The sequence below is a fragment of the Homo sapiens genome, chromosome 12 (assembly GCF_000001405.40).
Source record: "Homo sapiens chromosome 12, GRCh38.p14 Primary Assembly".
NCBI lineage: Eukaryota > Metazoa > Chordata > Mammalia > Primates > Hominidae > Homo > Homo sapiens.
The window spans coordinates 115,011,523-115,034,322 of record NC_000012.12 but is presented as its reverse complement, the minus strand read 5'-3'; the positions used below and the strand labels follow the sequence as shown (position 1 = coordinate 115,034,322).

The 22,800-nt window shown below is 42.9% G+C and overlaps 1 long non-coding RNA gene across 4 annotated transcripts in view, besides 1 other annotated feature; it reads right to left on the bottom strand.

The window, feature by feature from the left end:
* Positions 1-21,181, bottom strand: part of LOC102723639 (uncharacterized) — a 92,097-nt gene extending 70,916 nt beyond the window's left edge. Inside the window, exons 1-4 of one of the 4 annotated variants that reach the window (XR_429190.3) lie at positions 20,600-21,181; positions 20,192-20,262; positions 18,594-18,728; positions 459-1,670 (exon numbers count right to left, since the gene is read on the bottom strand). This is a non-coding gene — a long non-coding RNA (uncharacterized LOC102723639). Of the gene's footprint in view, positions 1-458; positions 1,671-18,593; positions 18,729-20,191; positions 20,498-20,599 lie in introns of those variants that run through there. The other 3 variants (XR_001749332.1, XR_001749331.2, XR_001749334.2) reach the window with 3 other exon arrangements.
* Positions 20,956-21,456: an enhancer, noted in NCBI's record as "H3K4me1 hESC enhancer chr12:115450672-115451172 (GRCh37/hg19 assembly coordinates)". NCBI's record gives its function as "activates a minimal SCP1, AML or CMV promoter by ChIP-STARR-seq in primed H9 embryonic stem cells {active_cell/tissue: H9 hESC(primed)}" and the evidence as "EXISTENCE:reporter gene assay evidence [ECO:0000049][PMID:30033119]".

Sequence of the window (22,800 nt, the reverse complement as noted above, 5' to 3'; positions counted from 1 at the left end):
GGAGTCCGCAGGTAGTGGGGGGACGCTGACCTCCCAGCAACTGGAGCTGGGACTGGGTGGACACACAAGGGGATCAAAAGACCTCATGGGAAAAACAGACCAAGAACTGGATTAGGGCACCAGGACCCCTGACCTTTCACCCCCAGAAATTATACAAGACTAAGGTGCATGAGAAACAGGGGTTCTGGGTGTGGTGTCATGGAAAAATCATGGCATTTGGTGTCCTGTGAACAAGGCTCAAATCCTAGATTTGCCACTTCCCAGCAACTGTGGAACACAAGCAAGGTTTTTACCTTCTCTGACCCTCTGTTTCCTCAATAAGGCCAATAGTACCTACTCCAGGGGGCTGTTGCTAGAAATATTGGGATGATACATATAACATGTTTAACCCAGAGCAGGCAATAAATGGTGATTATTTGAATTACCTACTCCTACTTTCCCACTTTCTGAAGAGCGAAGAGATCAATGGGATCAGGCTGACAACTATTAGTTTTACCCCCATCCTCCCTCCCACCTCCGTGCCCCTTTTTTGGTGGGTGAGTTAGTTCGGGCTTGGAGCTCTGAAAGTAAACTTTGCCTTTTAATGTCACAAAAAATCACAATAAGAAATCAACAACAAAAATAAAGCAGCTTCGAGTTAACAAGTGTCTACTATGAGCCAGGTGCATTTTCATTCCAGATAGATAGATAGATAGATAGATAGATAGATAGATAGATACCCATTATGTTTTCACAACTCTGTGAAGCATCTACAATGATTATTCCCATTTTACAGAGGAGAAAACTGAGGCTCAGAAGGACTAAGTCATTTGTCTCATGTCTCATGAGTAAAGCTGTGATGTAAACCCAGATCTATTGACTCTGAGTTTTTATTCTTTCCAACGTTGGATAGCCCTTGAAAGGGGTGGGAGGGAAGAACAGTATGTTGGAGACCCCAGGCAGATCAGGGGGTGCTTCTGGTCCATGTCCCCTGTCCTGAGTTCTTGGAGGTCCATTTGCAGACCCCCTAATTTCCAACTATCCTTCAGAAGCCTCAAATATATTCCTAAATCTCCTTGAAACAGCCCTGGCCAAGAAGAGCCTGCTTTCATGGTTGATGTGCAGTGATGAGGCAGGGTTAATACTTCATTAGGTCATGGTGCCATTTTGCAGTTCATGGATATTCGGTAACACAAGCAACAACAAACTCACAAATTCCTGGGCCTCACTTTCTCTGGGGGTGCAGGCTCAGGATGATGGCCCCCTGAATGTGGGCATGAGATAAAAACCTGTGCCTGACTCTCATGAATGTGTGGAGAAGATGCTCCGGGACTTTGGGATCGTGACTCCATCCTTGCTCCCACTTCCATGCCCCTTTTTTGGTGTGTGAGTAAGTTCCGGGCTTGGAGCTCTGACAGTAAACAATCCTCTTGGCCTGCCTGAAAGGTGAGTGTATTTTGTAGAGATCCTGTATTCATTTGCTGGTCTGCCGTAACAAATTGCCACAAACTGGGTGGCTTAAACAACAGAAATATGTTGTCTCACCAGTCTGGAGTCTAGAAGTCTGAGATCGAGCTGTCAGTAGGGCTAGTTCCTTCTGAGGCTGTGAGAGAAGATCTGTTCCATGCCTCCCCTCTAGCTTCTGGTCATTTGCTGGCAATCTTTTGCATTCCTTAGCTTATATTAAGTTGCTGTAAAAGTAATGAAAATAATTGTGATTTTTGCCATTACTTTTGAGAGCAAAAACTGCGATGACTTCTGCACCAACCTAATAGAAGTATTGCCCCAATCTCTGCCTTCATCTTCCCATGATGTTGTCCTATGTGTGTGTCCATCTCCAAATTTCTCCTTCTTATAATGACATGGGTCATACTGGATTCAGGCCCTCCCTCATGACCTCATTTTAACTTGATTACCAAATAACTTCACATTCTGAGGTGCTGGAGGATTAGGACGCTGACCTAGGAATTTTTCAGGGACACAATTCCATCCATAATAGTTCAGAAAGAGAAACAGGACTCACTCTTAGGTCAGTCTGATGAAATCCATGGACCCAATTCCTCAAGTCAATTCATAGGAACAAGTGCATTTAAAAATGTTATGTGATTTTTAGAAGTTCATGGACCTTCTGACACACGGGGTCTAGGACCACCAGATTAGACCTCTGGTAAGTTGCCAAGATACAAATATGTCATGAAGTCAACAACAGCAAGGTGGGGAATGTGGTGAGCTAGGTAAGGTCTGGAAAATAAGATGGTAAGTTCAGTTTGGAACATATTGAGTTGAAAGTGCAACATTAATATGTTGCATGGTGACAGTACAATATCCAGTTCCAAACTGTCAGCTTGGAAGGAAGTATAGAACTTAATATTGAGTCCTTTATTCTTTGTTTCTCTCCTCCTTTGTCTCTCAAAGATTTCTTGTACAGCCAATGTATGCTAGGCTGTGTGCAATATATGCTGGGCATTTTTTTTTTTTTTGAGACGGAGTCTTGCTCTGTCGTCCAGGCTGGAGTGCAGTGGCGCGATCTCGGCTCACTGCAAGCTCCAACTCCCAGGTTCACACCATTCTCCTGCCTCAGCCTCCTGAGTAGCTGGGATTACAGGCGCCCGCCACCACGCCCGGCTAATTTTTTGTATTTTTAGTACAGACGGGGTTTCACCATGTTAGCCAAGATGGTCTCGATCTCCTGACCTCATGATCCGCCCGCCTCAGCCTCCCAAAGTGCTGGGATTACAGGCATGAGCCATCGCACCTGGCCATGCTGGGCATATTAAAAACAGTGAGAGCATATGTATCCTCAAGGAACTCACAGGCTAATGTGAGAGTGAACATATGCATGTAAGTAAATTTTTATAGGTATATAGGAGTATGTGTGTATATTACAATATATATGTGTGTGTGTATATATATATAGTATATATACTATATATATAGTATATATATACTATATATATACTATATATATACACTATATATATAGTATATATATATACTATATATATATATACTATATATATATATATACTATATATATATATATTTATATACATATGTACTTACCTACCTGTATGGATACCTGTAACTTTATGGTAGGTAATACACACACACAAACCCCTATACGTGCACACGCACACATGCACACACACATATGTACATAGGGTAGATAAGTGCATATGTACCAAGGAGGGGTAGGTATTAATGGCCTTAACTGGTTGAAAGTTCAAGTTTGGACTAACTTCAGGCATAGTTGGATCCAAGTACTAAAGAAGCATTTGCAGGCCTTGGTCTGTAGTACTTTATCATTGGTTCTTCTTTCCTCAACTTTGGCTCTACTCTTAGGCAGGACTGCCCATATGATGGTACATCAACTGCCAGTAGCTCCCAGCTTACATCCAATTCAGCAACCCCAGTGAAAACAGAATATTTCCCCACCTCAAAAAATTTTAGTAGAAGTTGTGTTAATATACATGTTAATATGCATATGTACATATACACATGTATATATACAGGTAGGTAAGTGCATGTGTATATTAACACAACTTTAATCAAATTTTCTGCCACTTGTTATCAAAACAGTTCTTGCCAATGTAATAGTTTCATCCAAGAGGCCACATCTGAGTTAGAGCATATAGGTGCCTGTGAAAGGGCATCTGCGCCAAAGAAAAAGCTGAGCAAGGAATGGGAGCATTATTTAGGTTGATCTCATATAGACAGAGGAACCAAACTAGTCAAAGGATAACATTTGAAATAATGTTTGCACAAATGTGCCATGAAATATGGAAAGATCCTTGAAGAAGGTAGAATGGAGTTCACCTTTAACCAAATGATTCCAGCTGAAGGCAGTGTTGCAGTGTCCTTGTACAGATGAAGACTTGTGGATCCCAGACAGATTAAGTTAATTGTTAAATGCCTTACTATTAACTAACCAATAAGAACAAATCCCAGGTCTTCTACTGAAATTGTTTGAGGTGGGGAAATATTCTGTTTTCACTGGGGTTGCCGAATCGGATATAAGCTGGGAGCTACTGGCAGTCAACACACCGTCACAAGGGCAGTCCTGCCTGAGAATAGAGCCAAAGCCAAAGAAAGAAGAGCCAAAGATAAAGTGCTACAGACCAAGTCCTGCTATTGCTTCTTTAGCCCCTGGATCTAACTATGCCTGAAGCCAGCCAAACTTGAACTTTCAACCACTTGAGGCAAATAATACCTACCTCTCCTTGCTACATGCTGTGATTGATCTACTGTCTCTTTGGCAGTCAATTTACATACTGAAAGTCCTTTATGAACTCTGTGGCTGTACTAATGCCTGTAATTTTGTCTGAGGGTCCCTTCTGCAGCCCCTGGACATAGAAATATTCTCGTCATCATGTGGAAAAAGCCAGATGTACCAGAGACTTAAAAAGCTAAGCACAGAAAGACACATATTGCATGTTCCCATTCATATGTGGGAGTCAAAATAGTGGAACTCATGGAGGTAGAGCATAGAATGACAGATACCAGAGGCTGGGAAGGGTGTGTACATAGGGGTGAGGGATAAAGAGAGGTTGGTCAATGAGAACAAACGCATACTTAGATAGAAAGAATAAGTGCTAGTGTTTGATAGCAGAGTAAGGTGACATAGTTAACAACAGTGTATTGTATATTTCAAAATAGCTAGTAAAGAGGACTTGAAATGTTCTTAGTGCATGGAAATGACAAATACACAAGGTGATGATGGATGCCCTAAATACCCTGACCTGATCATGACACAGCCATGCATGCAACAAAATATCACAGGTACCACATAAATGTGCACAAACACTACGTAACAGTTAAAAAACAAGAAAGACAGCAACAGCCCTCAACTAATTATTGCAGGAATTGAATAAATAACTTCTCCAGTTCCCTTGGCCCTCAACTGAGATAACTCGCTGTCAGCCAGCATTTCCCAGGGGGTAATGCTCCAGTTGCTCTCACTATGACTGGCTTAATAACGATGCCCTTTCTTGACTTTCTTCTCTTTCCTGCCTCATTTTCCACTCCCTTGCCATGACCTCCTCGGATCATCTCCCAAACAAATTCCACTTACCTCCTTGTCTCAGGCTCTGCTTCGTGGGGAATCCAAAAAAAACCTCACATACCATTTTTGTCAGTCTTAGGTCACTGAAAATTGTGCTTCTACATCGTACAGCCAACAGAATCCTGACTAATGTACCAGATTAGGAAAGAAATGCCCACAAGCACTGGAAGTTACTAGAACCATGTTCCATTGATGGAGATGTCAACATCCTTATCATAAAGAAATTTCTCCATCCCAGGAAGAAGCAGAGCAGGTAACTTGGATCCTCAATACTTAGCAGAAATGCCAGTCTTCCCTGAGGAAGAGGGCTTGGGGCATTAACAGAGAAAAGGGAGGTGCCTGGATCATTCCATTGAGTGTCTCCCCATCCCATGAAGAGCAGAAAACCTGGATCTTGTAAAAGGTCCCATTTTCTTTTCTCATAAATGTTGCAGGCTCCCTGCTTCATATATTGCTGTTAATAAATTATACCCCACCTCTCTTTTAAGGCCCTTTTGTTATAACTCAGGCTCCCAGTTCCATTAACTCTCCATTACTTGAACACTTCATTATGACATTTTTTTTGCAAGCTGAGAGCATGGCTCCTGACACCCTCAGCCAGGCAGGAGGCAGAGATCAAAATGGGCCATTAAGTTTCTGTGGCCAATGCACAATTTTTTTTTCCAGAGTCTATTTTCTGCTGCTTTTAAAATAATGGACTCAAACGTTTCTCTTCTCTAGCAAACTCATCAGTAGCGTGCCAAGGACAGAGCCTGAGACAGAAAGGTTAGAGTGGCCTGAAATGCAACTGTTTCCTCACGTTCTTAATTTTTCCCTAGCACGGAGGAAGGTTTAATCCTACTTAAGGCAAAGCTGTTCTTTTGGGTCATTGGCTGAAATTCACAATGCAGGCCATTGTGAATCATACTTTAAAGTCCTAAGCAGTGGTCACAAATGTATGATCCTAAGATGTTGACGAGGGAATGCAGCCCTTGGAAGTCTGGGAAAGATAACCCTTCAAGTGTCTTCCAAAGCCCAAGTGCTCAATGCTATGCTTTCAAGATGCCATCTTCTATTCTTGTTTCTGATGGCTTCCTCTGGGAACATAAGCCAAACAATGGGGAATAAAGCAATTTGCAAAATATAAAAGGAAACACAAATAGGCACATGACATTTGCACATGCTTCATACATAAAATGCACATGCAATGGATATGCATCTACATAGCCAGCATATGTGGCTGTGGGCTTCAGATGCATGACATCATTTCATCCTCCCATGAACCCAGGAAATTAAGAATTAATATTATATTCATTTCCCAGAAGAAGAGACAAAGTCACAGAGAGGATAAATTACTCACCCAAGCCCACACAGGTGTTAAGTATTACAGTGTGGTTGTGGCTTTGAGCAGTCTACTCCAAGAACACATGTTTGTAAAACTATTGCTCAGCTGCGGCTGGGTGCGGTGGCTCATGCCTATAATCCCAGCACTTTGGGAGGCTGAGGCAGGCGGATCACAAGGTCAGGAGATCGAGACCATCCTGGCTAACATGGTGAAACCCCATCTCTATTAAAAATACAAAAAATTAGCTGGGCGTGGTGGCGGGCACCTGTAGTCCCAGCTACTCAGGAGGCTGAGGCAGGAGAATGGCGTGAACCCGGAGGGCAGAGCTTGCAGTGAGCCAAGATCGCGCCACTGCACTCCAGCCTGGGCGACAGAGTGAGACTCTGTCTAAAAAAAAAAAATTCTCAGCTCCTTCTTAAATTTTCAGTTAAACTGAAACATACATGGGCACGTGGACATGTTCACTACACTCATCATGCACATACCCAAATATTGTACACCCATGCCAACAGGATAGTGGGTACACTTCACCTTCATCTTGGCTGCAACGCTCTCAACCTAATAACACAAAAATCAGTCCTTTTATTTGGACAAGGCCTGACCGTTTACAAAGCACTTTCACATACATTAACTCATCAGCCCTGAATTTGCTGACAGGGCCAAGACAAGAAATGGACAAGGGAAGTGTAATACATCATTGACCAAAATAATAATTTGGCCCTTTAGATAGAGATTTTCATCCAAGGATAAATTATACCTTTTAGGCACATACAGGCGAGATCAATAGTCACAGAATCTTCATACTGTAAGGGATCTTAGAAATGACTGTCTTAGCCTGAGCTGCCACAACAAAGTACCACAGACTAGGTGATTTAAACAACACAAATTTTCCTGATGTATATGTAACCAGATAAATAAATAAAGGAAGCAAAACAACAACAACAACAACACAAATTTATGTCTCGTAGTTCTGGAATCAGGATTTCCAAAATCACGGTGCCAGCATGGTTAGTTAGGTTCATGGAAGGGACCTCTTCCTGACTTGTGAATAGTTGAATTTTTGCTGTATCTTCACATGATGGAGAGAGAGTTCTGGTCCTTTTCTCTTCTTATAAGGGTACTGTATTAGTCTGTTTTCATGCTGCTGATAAAGACATACCCAAGACTGAGCAATTTACCAAAGAAGTAGGTTTAATCGACTCATAGTTTCACATGGCTGGGGAGGCGTCACAATCATGGTGGAAGGTGAAAGGCATGTCTTACATGGTGGCAGACAAAAGAAGAGAATGAGAGCTAAGTGAAAGTTATCTGATGGTTATAAAACCATCAGATCTCATGAGACTTATTCACTATCATGAGAGAACAATACAGGGGAACCGCCCCCATGATTCAATCGTCTCCAACTGAGTACCTCCCACAACACATGGGAATTATGGGAGCTACAATTCAAGATGAGATTTGGGTGAAAACACAGCCAAACCATATCAGATGCTAATCCTATCATGGGACCTTCACCCCCCTGACCTCTTTTAAGCTTAATTACCTCCCAGAGGCCCCACTTCGAAAACCATCTCATTGGGGATGAGGGTTTCCACATATTTGTTTTGTCAGAGACACAAGCATGTAGTCCATAACAATGAACTAGTCCAGGCTCTTGACTTTCCAAGTGGAGAAATGGAAACCTGGCAGAAGGCAAGACTCTCTGAAGATCATAAAGTCACATAAGGGCAGAGTTGGCTGTTTGAATGAGGGATTCTTCATTCAGCCAGGAGGCCCACGGTAGATGACTGCAGTCTTTGCTATAGGACAATTAGAATTCAGGCTATGACACTGTATAACTTTAAACAAGTTTCTTTTGTCTCTAGTTCTCAAGTTCTTTATCTATAAAAAGAAAAAGTTGGATGTTCCAAAGTATTATCCATGGAAGACTAGTTTCATGGGAAGTAGATAAGCATCTTGTCTAGAAGTGTCTCATCGTCAAAGATATTTGGAAAAGCTGCCTTGTTCAGAGTGAAAGAAGTTTCCCAGCTGCAGGACTTGTCAGTGGCTTTGACTTACTGAAGTCATTTATTGTTTCTAAGGTGATGATATGGAGAATTTTCCAAATTTGCATGACAAACATGGAATCTGCATCTTATGTACTATCTTGAAGGATTAGAGTAGTGCAGAATCCATGTGAAAAAATGTGGCTGAGATGAATTTTGAAGCCTCATCTAGCTCTAATATTTTATAATTTTGAATGTTTTATTTCTTGACTTTTCCTTTATTTTACCGACATATCATATGTTTCCTAGGATTGCTATAACAAAGAATCACAAACTAGGTAGCTTAAAAAAAAAAACAGAAATATAGTGTCTCACAGTTCTGGAGGCTGAAAGTCTGAAATCAGTATCACCGAACTTTGAAACCTCTGAAACTCATAGGGGAGATCTGTTCAATGCCTCTCTCTTAGCTGCTGGTGGTAGCCCTCAAGCCTTGGAATTCCTTGGTTTATAGCTGCTTCACTCCTATTTCTGCCTCTATCATCACATGATATTTTCTTTGGTATATCTGTCTCTCTGTCTCTTCTCCTTTTCTTATAAAGACACCAATCATCTTTGATGAGGGGCCCCCCCTACTCTAGCATGATCTCATGATAACATCTACAATGGCCCCATTTCCAAATAAGATCATATTCTGAAGTCCCAGAGATTGAGACTCTAATGTATCTTTTTGAGACACACAATTCAACCCATAACTTATTCAAGCCATACATGAATGGAGGTATGACAAGAGATTTCTCAGCTTCAAAGAAATGAGGAGCAAAAAATTATACAATTGGCTGTACTGGCCACTTTGTTATCAATCAACTAACAAGTAGTTGGATTTTTGCATGGTCAACTTAATTGATCATTAAAGTCAACAGTCATAATTATACTTCCAACCATTTTCCTTTTACATGACCCCCAAATTCCCTACACACACACACACACAAACACACACACACACACACACACACACACACACACACACAGCATTTTCTCCTAGCTTTCTTGAAAACTGGATCAAACAAGCTAAACTGGCAGATTGAATGGTAGGGTTCAGCTATTTTGATGGCCAGAAGTACCAAGTGTACTTGGTTCATTTTGGTGGTGTTCTAATGCTGGTCACCAGACTTCGAGGCAAGCCACGTCTATACACAGTCCAAACTGACATGTCTTTGTCTAGCTATTGTGGGATGTCTTTGGTCAAATTAGTGGTTGCTTTTGGTGCCTTTAATCATCTTGCTTCTGATCTCAATATTGCCCAAGCAACTGACCAGCCTGGTTCATTCACACAAAGACTCAGTTAAAAATAAGTCAACCACACAATCTGTGTGGTATCGTGTAGGCAAAAGAAAATAACAAAACTGAATTTTACATGTGGCTTCTTTTTTTCTCTCTTTTTTCCCTGTCTGAACCAGTCATGTAGACACAACTGCAGAAAGATTGCCACGCTCGAAGGAGAAAGGGTGGGGGGATGACAAGAATAAAACATATACATCATTTCCATTGGATCATTCATGAGATCTTGAAGTTTTACCCCAGCGAGAAAAAGCTTGGCCCTTCATTGATTAACCTCCTAGTACCTTCAAATCAGAATATGCTGAGAGCTATGTATGCCGTCCAAAACTCCAGGTCAGTGTGGTGGGGAATGGAGGTAGGGGAATGAGGAATTAAACCAGATTGAAATCAGTTTTTCTCCCAGGCTGGGGAACTCTAGGATTCCTCAAACCTCAAAAATGGAATTGCTGTTCTCTCAAGTCCCAGAGTGGCCTGATTCCAAGCCCCTGCAGCCAAAGCCTAAAACGTGGCTTTACTTTGGAGAATTCAAATGTGGCTTTGCTTTCAAGAATTTGGCCCCAGCATGATGGGGATCTGGTGAAACACTTGGAAAAATCAAAAATTGAGAGCTCTCGGCAGCCTACGGATCCCACTAAGGCCCATGGCAAACTGGCCTCTGCAGACAGGCTCTCCTTCCTGATGGAGCTGTCTGCCTAGTTGTCCAGATGCCTCACCTTTGGGAGAGAAGCTGTGCCCATGTTTTGGAATGCTCAGAGCCTCTTTGTCCTCCCTCCTTTTCCCCACTGCAACCTTAAGGCTCAGTGATGAGGCCACAGCTGTTTATGTGTTTAACTTTTCTTGGGATTTTTTACTTAAGTTACTTGGGATTTTTTTTTTTTTCCCGAGGCCCCTGTTTCTTGCTTGGCTCAATGAGGTGTGCTAACTTCTCCAGACCTCTCCATATCTCTGCAAACACATGCCATGTACCTATGTGGTAATCCAGAACACCAAGGAAATCAGAACCCTGGATGAAAAAACAGGGGGCATGTAGGTTTGCTAAAAATAAAGTAAAATTAAAAATTCCAAAGATGACTTTGAAAAACAGCTGCAAGTTTCCTGATCAAAACATAGCCTTCTGGGGTTATTTCCAGGCCAGGCTGCCTGCCAAAGGCTGTGATGAATTCTAGGCTCCATATGGTGTGTCCCATATAACAGAGATTTGGCACCAGTGAATTCCAGACTCTAACCTGCAGTTCCAAGGCCTGCCCTCCTGGAGATAGGGGTTTACAATGATTGAGTTCCATGACCATATGAGACCAGAGGTCTTTCTTCAGTTCTAAAGGAGGGTTTCCATGCAGACCTCTTACTTCTACTGTGATCAAGCGAAAAGGCCCTGGGTTTTGGAGTCCCAGATTCATGGGATCAAATCCTTGCCCTTTTACTTACTGGCAATGCATGTTCAGACAACAAATTTAACCTCTCCAAATTTCAGTTGCTGCATCTGTAAGAGGAAAATTATCAAGCCTATCCTGCGTGGCTGAGTGAACTTATGGATAAGTTAATGAAAGCACCTAGTACTATATCTGATATATACTAGATGCTCACAACCTGGTGCCCAGCCTTATTATTATATCCCTTCCATTTTCCCCACTAGGACATGGAGCCAACAGTCAGTATAGAGCATTCTAGGCCAGGTACTGAAGTCTCTAGAAGTCAAAAACAGTATCTGGGAAATAAAGATTCCATTCCGGAAATGTTTCTTGAGCACTCTCCTTGTACCAAGCTGTTCCAAAGGAGTTCAATGTGTAACAAAGGAAATGTGTGCATGTGTATTACTATCCACTGATGTACTTTTCTCTTCTCTCTCTCTCTTTCTCATTCTGCTACATCGATTTTGCCATTAAGTCAAAGCAACAGAGTGATTGCCCTACAGAATGGAAAGGTGGCTTCCACCTAGAACAAAGAGCTTGTAGAGTAACAGCAAAAGAGGGTATGATATAATGGGAGTTACTCTTAGGCAGGCAGGAAAAGAAGAAAGTACATTCAGAGCTGGGCAGTCAGGGAAGGAAGAGTCTCTGATCAACCCCCAGCAAGACTCTGCACCCCATTACACGAGTCAGTGGAGGCAGAATCATCTATATAGGTTTGGAAAATCTAACTACATCTGGGTGGTGGCCCCATTTCTCTGGGATGGAGGCTGTACATTGCTGAGAGGTACTAGGGAGCATGGCTTGAGAGGAGGCCTTCAGTTCCCCAGGGTTTGTGGTAGCATCTAAGTTCTCATGCATCCCAGTGGGAAGTGTTAAGAGGCCAGAAACACAGTGTTTTCTGGGATCACAATGTGGGAGACCTTCCAACCCTGGCCAACATCAGGGGTCAAAAATGGCATGGCAGCATGACATCTAGTGGGTAGGCAAAGCCAGCCTCCCATGGCAGAGCACAGTGAAGACTCAGTGGAGGGTCATCCTATTCCACACCCAGAAGCCTCCCAGGAGATGAAGCAGAGAGCAGAGACACCTTGAAAAAGGAGATACAGCCCTTACCAGGAGTTTGAATTGGCTGAATATTTATTAAAGAGATAGTTACCTCTAGTTGGCAAATTTAATTTTTTATGCCATTAATGGAAATGGACACTCCAGAGCAAAATTAAATATAAAAACTGAAGAAAGATATGTTTTGTTTCTTAAATTCTTCAGGGTACATCTGAATCACAGCATATGAAATTGAAATTTAACCCTCCTGCACATGAATGCATCGCAGTATGCTGCCAGGTGAGTAAACAGAGGGCGAAGAGGGAGGAGCTTTCAACCCAGGCTTGGAAGACTGGCTGTAAGGAAAGCTTCTCAAGGGAAATGAGCCCCAAGTGAATCTGAAGTATCCTGAGGGGTGGAAAGGATCAAGGTCAGGCAGAGAGTGAGGAGTAAATCTGAGGCAAGACGGACAACACAGACCAAGGTAGGAAGCAGAAATATGTGCGAAGCAGACAGATTATCTGCAATTTCAAAGTGGTGGAATGCCAAGTACAATTCTTTCAATATTAATGGGCCCCCTACTGTGTACCGGGTGCCTCATAGGAGGATCCAGAGGATGCAAGAGTGTAGTAGGGAAGGAGGAGTCTCAGCTGGGATCTCAGGAGATGTCATGAACTTAGGACGTGGAAAAGGAAAACTGTGCTGTCCAAAGTCACTTCAAACCCCAGAAGTGTGGCAGAAACGCACAGTGAAACACCTTCAATGTCCATGCTAAATGTTTAGGTGCAGCCTAGGTGGGCATCAGGATAAGGGAAGGGGTGGGAGGGGTTAACTGAGTCTCTTCTGTCTCCCAGATCTGTCCCCTCTAACTCTTGGGCTGACACAGACCACCTACCAAAACCAAGGCTATGGTTCCTTTCTCTGAGACATTCTCATCTTCCCTGCAGGGGACCCATTCCCACCAAGGCTTAGGTGTCTTCCAGACTCTGTTACAGTGAGTCCCAGGGTGTTCTGACACACATGATCAATTCCATGCAGGCACAATAGAGAGCAAGTTAGGGTCTGAACCTCATTTTCTCTCCTGCCATCTCCTTAAGGAAGAGCATCTAATACCCCTTCAAGGCACTATCACCCATCTAGAGATGGGCATGAAAGACTAGGCAGCATAGGTTAGCGTATATAATGCAGGAGGCAATGGAACATTATGAATGGAACATTGTCACTGGCCACTTTGCTATAGTATTTTCAACTTAAGAGTTTGCATATGAATAAAAGCAATCATAAAATTATTTTACATTATTTTCATGAGCCAGGAAATGCTTTGAATTCATTTTTGATTTTTTTATTTCAATTGCCTTCTCCTCCTATGCCAGCCCCAGCCCAGGAATAGGAGTCAGGGTGAGGTGACATCCAGGCATGAAACTGAGACTAGTGTGAAGGGTTATAGAACCTGACAGATCTGGGAATTCATCATGGATATGCCACTTTGTAGCTGTGTGACTGGGAAAGTCACCTGAGCTCTCTATAAAATGAAGATTGCAGTACCTAATTCCCAAGGATATTGTGAAGAATAAATGCACGATAGCTTAGCATCAAGCTTGGCACATAGCTTGTGATAACTATCATCAACAACTGTGGCAGTTCTTTAAAATAGCCACACATTTTTTTGACCCTCCTCCTATCAAGAGGTGGCGTCTGTATCCTCCCCACTGAACTCTGGGTGGGTTTGTGACTTCTTTCACCAAAAGAGTATGGTGGAAGTGATGCTGTCTGACTTCCATGGCTAGGTCATAAAAGGCCATGCAACTTCTGCCTTGTTCACTAGAACACTGGAGCACTGGTTCCTGGAGAGAGTATGAGGCCACCATGCTGTGGGGAAGCCCAAGCCACAATGAGGAGTCAGATGTAAGTTCTCTGATCCAATATCTGAGCTAAGCCCAGCCATCACTCATATAAGTGAAGGAACCTCCAGATGTTTCCAGCCCCCAGCCTTTAAGAATCTTCCCAGATGAAACTTGGTCATCATACAGCAGAGACAAAACAACCCTGCTGCTGTCCTAATCCATAATCCTGATCCACAGCACCCATAAGCATAATGAAATAGTTGTTGTTTTAGGGCACTAAGCTTGGACTGGTTTATTAAGCAATATTAGATAACTGGAATACCAATCTTCATTATTATCACCATAGATTTTTAATCAAGGTACTATTTGGTAGAGATCTTTATTTGATATATTCTTAAATAAAGTATACACACTGCAATGCAGTGTCAAATCTGAAAATAAGCATTCTTCAGCAAATATCAAGTGTGTTTTTTCAACCAATATTCATATGTTTGCAGAGCCTGCAAACAACTGATGAGCTGGTAAGCATTGGCATGGCAGCTGCCAACACGTTCTTGCAGGAATTTTTGCAATTTATTAGTATAATAATAGATTTCACAGGTATCTGTGGCATATAATTATGACCTATATTACATGTCACCGGCTTATTGCTTGACTTTACTTCTCTATTAACAAAAAAAAACGCTGTGGATTTTACATTAATTGCAATAAGAATTAATGGCTACTTCTAGGCCATTTTATCTGCAAAAGAACATTTTAGGTTTGATTTTGTTTGTTATCCAGGAATGAGACTATTGAGATACATGGAAGACTATCTTCCCTACTGTACTATAAGCTCTCCCTTTTTTTTTTTTTTTTTTTTGAGACGGAGTCTGGCTCTGCCGCCCAGGCTGGAGTGCAATGGTGCGATCTCGGCTCACTGCAACCTCCACCTCCTGGGTTCAAGCGATTCTCCTGCCTCAGCCTCCCGAGTAGCTGGGACTACAGGCGCGTGCCACCATGCCCAGCTAATTTTTGTATTTTTAGTGGAGATGGGGTTTCACCATTTTGGCCAGGACGGTTTCCATCTCTTGACCTCATGATCTGCCCGCCTCAGCCTCCCAAAGTGCTAGGATTACATGCGTGAGTCACCGCGCCCAGCCCGTAAGTTCTCTTAAGGTAGGAATTAAGTATTACCTTCCTTCTCCCTTTCCAGGACCTAATACAGTGTTTCATATATAGTAGGTATAAAAGGGTATGGTAGCCATGAAGATGTGACACTCAGGTCTCCTTTCAAGAAATAACTTGCCATTCAGCTGCAAGGAGTGAAGTCAGTGGACAGCCCTCAGCCGCAGCACCTTTGAGATCTACTTCAGCTTTTAAATCAAAGCCACATCTTTCTTCGGGAGCCCCCAGCCAAACACTGAGCATGGGAGAAGTACCAGAGCCTGGCCGGTTCTGCCCACTGCAGGACTCCTCTAATGGGAAATCTCAGCTCTGGAAGAGGTCCTCATTAAGTTGGTTCAGACTTTGTTGGATCTTCATTGTAATCTGAGGCTCTTTTTACCTATTCCTGTTTTCTCTGCTTTTATCTTTCACAAGCATTACCCCCTAAGACATGTCTTGTATTTCTCACTCCATTTTACCATCTGCTTCCCATAGGACTCAATGGACACAGGGAGGTACTAATCAAATTCAACCTGATTACATAAGACAATATCTATTTGAGAAGATAAAGCTTTGATTGATGCTATAGACTGAAATCTTATGTCCCCCCCTCCAAAATTCCTATGTTGAAACTTAATCCCCAATGTGATGCTATTTGAAAAGAAGGCCTTGAGAAGTGATTAGGTCACGAGGGTGGAGCCCTTATGAATGAGATTAGTGCCCCTCTCAGCAGTGCTCCAGAGACCTTTCTCACCCCTTCTACCATGTAAGGACATAGCTAGCATTTCTCCCACCTGCTTTTCCCAATCCCTCAGGTATGTTTCTAAAGAAGAACATTTACATTGCAGCTTAAAGTGGCTGTCATTCCAGAACTTATAATTCCTCCAAATATTAGCTGTTGTGGAAACTCACGGTGGGCCTTAAACCTCCCTTATTCTACATTTGATCTGACAAATGAAAGGAGATGACACAAATAAACCAGAAGAGAAGAGCCTAGGATCTGGAGGCCTACAGACTTGGGTTCAAACCCTGTTTCCCTACTTACTACCTGTGAAGATTTGGCTGCATAGACTGTTTTCTCTGTCCTCCACTGCCCATCTAGAAAAAGGGGGGTACCCAATATATCATCTTGATTTATTTTTTAGCTCATGATAGACAACATGAACAAGAGGAAGAAGGAAAAAGAGGAAAAGGAGGAGAGGATGAGAAGAATGGCCAATCTGGGGTGCCAATGTGATTCTGAACCAGGCAAGAAACTAGAAATTCAACCTGGAGAACTGGACTTCCATTGAACCAAATGATCCCATGTTCCTCTTGGACTGGCATTTATTTGCTGAATACCTCCATGTTCCTATCTCATGCTAGCCTCTGTTGGTGCAGCTCTGAAAACACTGTAAGAATACCATCCATTCTATGAGGGCTGGGAGGGTGGCTGTATCCATGTCTGCAGCATGAGGTAGGTCTTCAGTAATTATTTGGTGAATGAGTGAATTTGAATGAATGAATGAGAGTGTAAAGCTTTCACTAGCCATGAAACAGCCTTTAGTCCTTTGTCAACAACAGCATAGGAATTAGGGATCTTTGGAAGCCTTGCTTCTTACAAAATCTGCATCTCAGCCACAAAGAAGGAGGCCTGGGAGTTATTAGAGAGGCTCTTGTTTGTTTGTTTTGCAAATGAAAATCAGAACTGAGGAAGCTCACTGCAGCCAGCTGCAGGGTTCTGAGTTAACCCCTTCGGTGTCACAGAGCCGGTGGCTTCTTTTCAGAACTACATTTTGAGGGAGATGAGCCTGAAGTAGTGGGAGGAGAGGGTGCTCTATTGAATGGAGTCCCAGCTCCAGGTTGAAAGTTCTGGAGACCTAGTTGTGCTTCTAGATAGCTCTGGGAGCTTCAGAAAAATCCCTCGATTTCTCTACACATTTGTTTCTCTGCCTAAAAATTATGGATTAAGCCAGTTAGGCTCCAAGCACCTCTGAATCTTACCATCCCAATACCAAAATCAGTTTGTGCCTGGAGTGAAATGTTTCTTGGCTGAGTTGGAGTGGGAGAGGACGCATATGAGCCTGTCTATGGAGTCTGTGCCACATCACAAGAGGCGTTTTTCCCTCTACATCTAATCATGATCCTAATAATGATGATAATAGGAATAACTATTCATTGAATGTGTACTGTGTGCTAGGTGTTCTTTCAAAACTTTATGTGGGTCCTATTTTAACCTTCAGCATGACTCTGTGATGTAGATGCTAATATAATCCCCATTTTACTGATGAGAAAATTGTGGAACAGAAAGGTTCAATGTCTCGCCCAAGACTTTAGGTAAGTGGTGAAGCTTGGATTCAAACCTACGAGATTGGTGCAGAATCCTTTATTCTCTACTCTTTGGGTTCCCAATGTCCTGTTCTCCCAGACTGCCTATGTCTACTCAGAAATGTCTTAAGCTTTCACAGAGAAAGGCAGTGAGAAGAGGCAGTGAGCCGTAGGTATAGTGAGAAGGCATAGATAGCACCCAAACCCTCCAGTCCTAACTATCCCTGGGACTTGGGGGAGTTCTTCTGCCCTCAGGTCTCAGTTTCTCCATCTGTGAGTTGAAGTAGTCACCCATGGGAATATCCAGGAGTGTCCCCAAGCTGATTAGTAAATAAGAGAATCTTACACCAGAACTCAGAGAAGAGCTTCCAAGAGTATATAAAATCCAAGGAGTTGTATGAAAAATGTTGTGTGTGGGCATTTAGCTATGGGGATAGGAGGTTCATGGCTCACATTAGTTTCTGGAAGCGCCTGCGCCAGGGAACTAACAATACAACAGCATCATCAGTGTAGACTCTCAGCAGCTAACACATCAGAGGCAGGTCACTCCTGTGATCATGGTGTCAGGGCTCAACATCTGGTTGTTTAAAATAAAAAAGCCAGATAATTGGCTTCATTTCATTATCTTCCAATGTCTAGAAATTTCCAGAGTAGAAAGCAATAACTTGACACCCTTAGGCTCAAAATCTCTCTCTTTACACACAGTGCCTCTTCTTTCTCCAAGAAGGAAAGTCTCTCTTACACTTAATACCCTTGAGAATAAGCCAGAAATATGCTGTCACCTGCAAGAACTTCCAAGTAGATCCAACAGAGAAGTGTCATGTGGACAAGGTGTGTGAATACAGAGCCTGCAAAAACAACCAGGACTTAGCATGTCCTCAGCCAAATGCTTTGGTGCAAAAACCTTGTGTGTGTGTGTGTGTGTGTGTGTGTGTGTGTGTGTGTGTGTGTGTGCATGCAGTGAGAGAAGACAATAGGCTGCTGTAGTAAATACACCAGATGGAAAGACAGTCAGATATGGGTGGGAATCCCAGCTCCTCTCCTTATCAGCTCAGCCATTTCAGATGAGCTCCTAACCTCTCTGCGCCTCAGTTTCCTCCCCTGTAAAATTCCAGCAACTTCACAGTGCTGTTCTGAGGACTTAATACAATAACTCACGTAGTGAAGAATTCATGTATTGCAGCTGCCCCACAAGCAGAAGTAGCTCAACATATGGGAGTCCAGATGCCTTGGTGACCTTGGACAATTCTTTCTTTTATTTTTTTCCTCCCTCCTGAGCCTTAATTTCTTCATCTGTAAAACAGAAGTGAAATGACAGAGAAGGTTGATGTGTTAAGCTTTCTTTTAGTTATGGAACTTTGGGGGTTTTTCCCACCCCCAAATAAAATCTCATGGGGAAACCCAATGCATATAACCATGAGAAACAGTGGCTCAGGTTCAAGGAGAAACAGCAGACTCCAGCGGACTGAACCTGTCTTAACCCCCCTCGTGCTGGTAAACCTCACAGGTGTTGGGCTGTTGTGGAAAACCAGCATGCCGCTTCAGTATTTCCCAATTTTCCTTAACCTGTGCAGCAAACGCACACTTGCCATGGTTATGTACTACTTCCATTATTTATCTACTTAATATTTTTCTCAACTCAATTGCTTATCAATTGCTCAAATTTAATTTAATCCAAAAGGAAGCTACATGTCATGACATCAGGGGAAGACCAGTATCTATTTTCATAAATAGAAGGTCATGTGAATCAAGTGTATAATAAATACTGGATTTATTTAACCTGCTGAAGGTTGACTTCCAGGGATGTCATCTCTTTTTCTTAAAAAGGAGGAGTCACAAGGGGGTAAGAAAGTGTTCAAGGACCCTAGCACCCAGCTAAGGCTTTTTCCTTGTAATAGGCAGGATGGAAAGAGAAGAGAAAGAACTCAGCACCAAGCGTTTCTCCAGCTGTGTTGCTCCAGGTTGCTTTTAATTGACTTCCACATGTGGCATTGTTGAGAAGCACTCTATGATCACTGTAGTAGGTTTAATGGTGTCTCCCAAATACCTAAGCCCAAGTCCTAACATCCCCCACCACGTAACTGTGAATGTGGCTTTATTTGGAAATAGGGTCTTTGCAGATGTAAGAATCTTAGGATGAGATCATCCTTAATTTAGGGTGGACCCTAAGCCCAAGGACAAGTGTCCCTATCAGAGAAAGGAGAGGGAGATTTGATACATATCGAGAAAGCCATGTGAACATGGGAACAGAGATTGGAGTGATGCAGGCATGAGCCAAGAATGCCTGGGGCCATCAGAAGCTGGAAGAAGCAAGGAAGGATTCCTCCCTGGAGCCTTCGGAGGGAGTGTGGCTTTGATGACACCTTGATTCTAGACTTCTGGCCTCTAGGACTGTGGAAGAATACATTTCTCTCATTTTAAGCCACCTGTTGGTGGTCATTTGTTGGGGGCAGCTCTAGGAGATGAATGCAATCACTAAACCTGTTTCCAATGTAGCATTCATCAGCCTAATCCCGTATTTTTTCCTCTACGTCCTCTTTTACCAGAGGTCAGGAGTTGCCCTTTCAGAAGAAGTTCCCCCTTCCCATAAGAGATCTCCCTTCCCCTTGCAAAGAATTGTCATTGGTTTATCCTAAGAAGCAGGGAAGGTAAAGACATTGAATAGGCCTGGCCAGAAGATGCTTCTATGTTCTCAGAACTCACTGTCTTGAAAATCTATCGTCTCCCATCCTCCCTCCCTTTACTCCCAGTCCTACCTGAAAGATCCATAGAGAGAGGAAGGATGAGTCTTCGTCTTGGTGAACCAAAGTGTAACTTTGGGTGGCTACTTAAGAAAAAAAAAGAACCCTCATGAATAAACCATGTCTTGCAATTTTTTTAAGCCATAATTCCAGAGCGAATCAATGGTTGGAACCTCCCAGCTTAATGCGAGCCAGATTCCTGCCTCTTCACCCTGTTTCCCTCTCTCCAGCTCTCCCTCTCTTTTCCTTGTACCAAAAGCTGTCTGCTAAACTTCTAAAACACCCTTTGCCTTTTTGACCCTTCAACTTGTCTTGAACTTCAGAAAAAAATTGGGGAAATGGCACTGAGTGAACTATATATAAGTCCTGGGCGTGTAGGGAGGAGGTGGGGGGAGAGGGGGCCATGCGGGGGAGAGGGCTCACCATGAACTTGGGGCCTCGGATATTCGCTTGGGAAAAAAAAATTCCAACTCTCTTCTGTTAATGGAATTAGTAAATATTTGTTGCTCTGTTCTAGGCCGGTGCCCCAGGGGGATATCTGGAGGAAGGAAAAAAAAGAAGGCAAATAAAAATAAAAGACAAGCTACTTTTCTGCTCCTTTCCCCTCTCCAAAGACACTAAACAGACAAGTTGGAGGATTAGAATGAGGCCTTGTGTGGCTGCTGCGAGCAGGAAGTTGCAAGGGGGCTTTGCAGCGGGGAGGGGGCCATGGCGGGGAAGAAGCAGGCCTGCTATCTGGTAATGGGAACGCCATTCCTGCCTAATGAAATGATTGCTGGCGGAGTTCCTGAGTTACAGCGCAGCCCGCACAGCCCCTGGCTGGCTTCCTGGAGCCCAGAGACCCTGGGCTGGGGCCGGGCCTGATGTGCAAAGAGCGTGCAAAGAGGCAGGGAGAGAATAAGAAAGTGACAGAGAGGGAGGTGGTGACAGGGATGAGAGACAGAGAAGCGGAGCAGGGGAATCAGAGATCAATGGCTAGATGGAGAGAAAATGATAGAAACAGTGGCACATGCGCAGCCAGCGACATACAGAGAAAACAACGGATGGGGGCAGACAGAGGAAGAGACTCGACAAAGAGCCTCTGTCAGGCCCAGGGAGATGGATGGGAGAGAATCAGAGTGGAGGACCGAGCTAGGCTGAGGCTGAGAGATGGATGGACAGGAAGAGACCTGGACACGGAGGGAGAGAGAAGCGGAGATGAGAAAAACAAAGACGTGGAGGGACAGAGAGAAAGACGGGGCGAGGCAGAAACCCTGACTGTCAGAAGCAAGTGAAGAAGAGGAAGGAGCCAGGCAGTGGAAGAGACAGACATGGAGACAGGGTCAGAGACAGAGGAACAGGAGGGAATGAAGATTCAGAGAAAAGAGACAGGAGGTCCAGAGAGCAAGGCAGTAACTTCCTGCACGTGGAGAGTTCAGTGCAAATGGATCTTTGTAAGACTTCATCGCCTTGACAGGAAGTGAGGTCCTAATAGACATCGATTATAAAATAAAAAGCGTGTTCAAATAGGACAAAATAAGGAAGGGGCAGGAAAGGAGAATAAAAGTCCTTCCCTATTGTCCTGCTGCAATCATTCTCTGACTTCTTCAACTTTTAGCAGATTTTACAATAAATGCGTGGATGGCCTGGAACATTTTCACCTCATGTACATTGTTTCTGGCCATCCAAGTAGCCTCCAAAGAAGATGTTATGACTTCTACTCTTTTTTAGTTGAAGAATCTGAGAATCAGGGAGGTGACATTACTTACAACATAATACAGAGAGGAAGGGGCTGGAGTTGGGGCTCTAGTGTGGGTAGACAAAAAGAATATAAATGCTAGAAAGGGGGAAAGTTTGGAGGTTAAGTGTTCTGAGGACCTCATTTTGCTCAGGAAGGGCTATATGGATTATTACATTGATTACAGTGATTAACCATAAGCATGGTAAGAATCAAATGTGCCTATTTAGAAAATAGAAATAGAACCAATAACTTCTGAAGAAGGAGAGAAGAAAAGGTGGGTGGGAAGGAAAAGGTAAAAAAAAATTCTCTCCACCTAATACAAAAGAGAAAAGGAGGAAGAAAAAAGCAAAGACAAAAAGAAAAAAGATGAAAATGTGATTAAGTAGAAATTGCTAATGAAAATGCAAAATGGCACAGCCATTTTGGAAGACAGTTTGGCAGTTTATTACAAAACTAAACATACTCTTACCATATGATTCAGCGACCACACTCCTTGGTATTTACCTAAAGGAGTTGAAATCTTATATGCACACAAAAACCTGCACACAGATGTTTACAGCAGCTTTATTCATAAATGCCGAAAGTTGAAAGCAACCAAGATGTTCCTCAGTAGGTGAATGAATAAACAAAGCATCGTACATCCAGACAATGGAATACAGGGTTATTCAGCACTGCAAGGAAATGAGCTATCAAGCCTTGAAAAGACATGGAGGAAATTCAAATGCATATTATTAAGTGAAAGAAGCCAATTGAAAAGGCTCACACTATATGGTTCCAACTACATGACATTCTCAAAAAGGCAAAACTATGGCAACAGTAAAAAGATCAGTGGTTGTAAAGAATTAAAGGGGAGGGAGGAATGAAGAGGCAGAGCACAGAGGATTTTTAGGGCAATGAAACTATT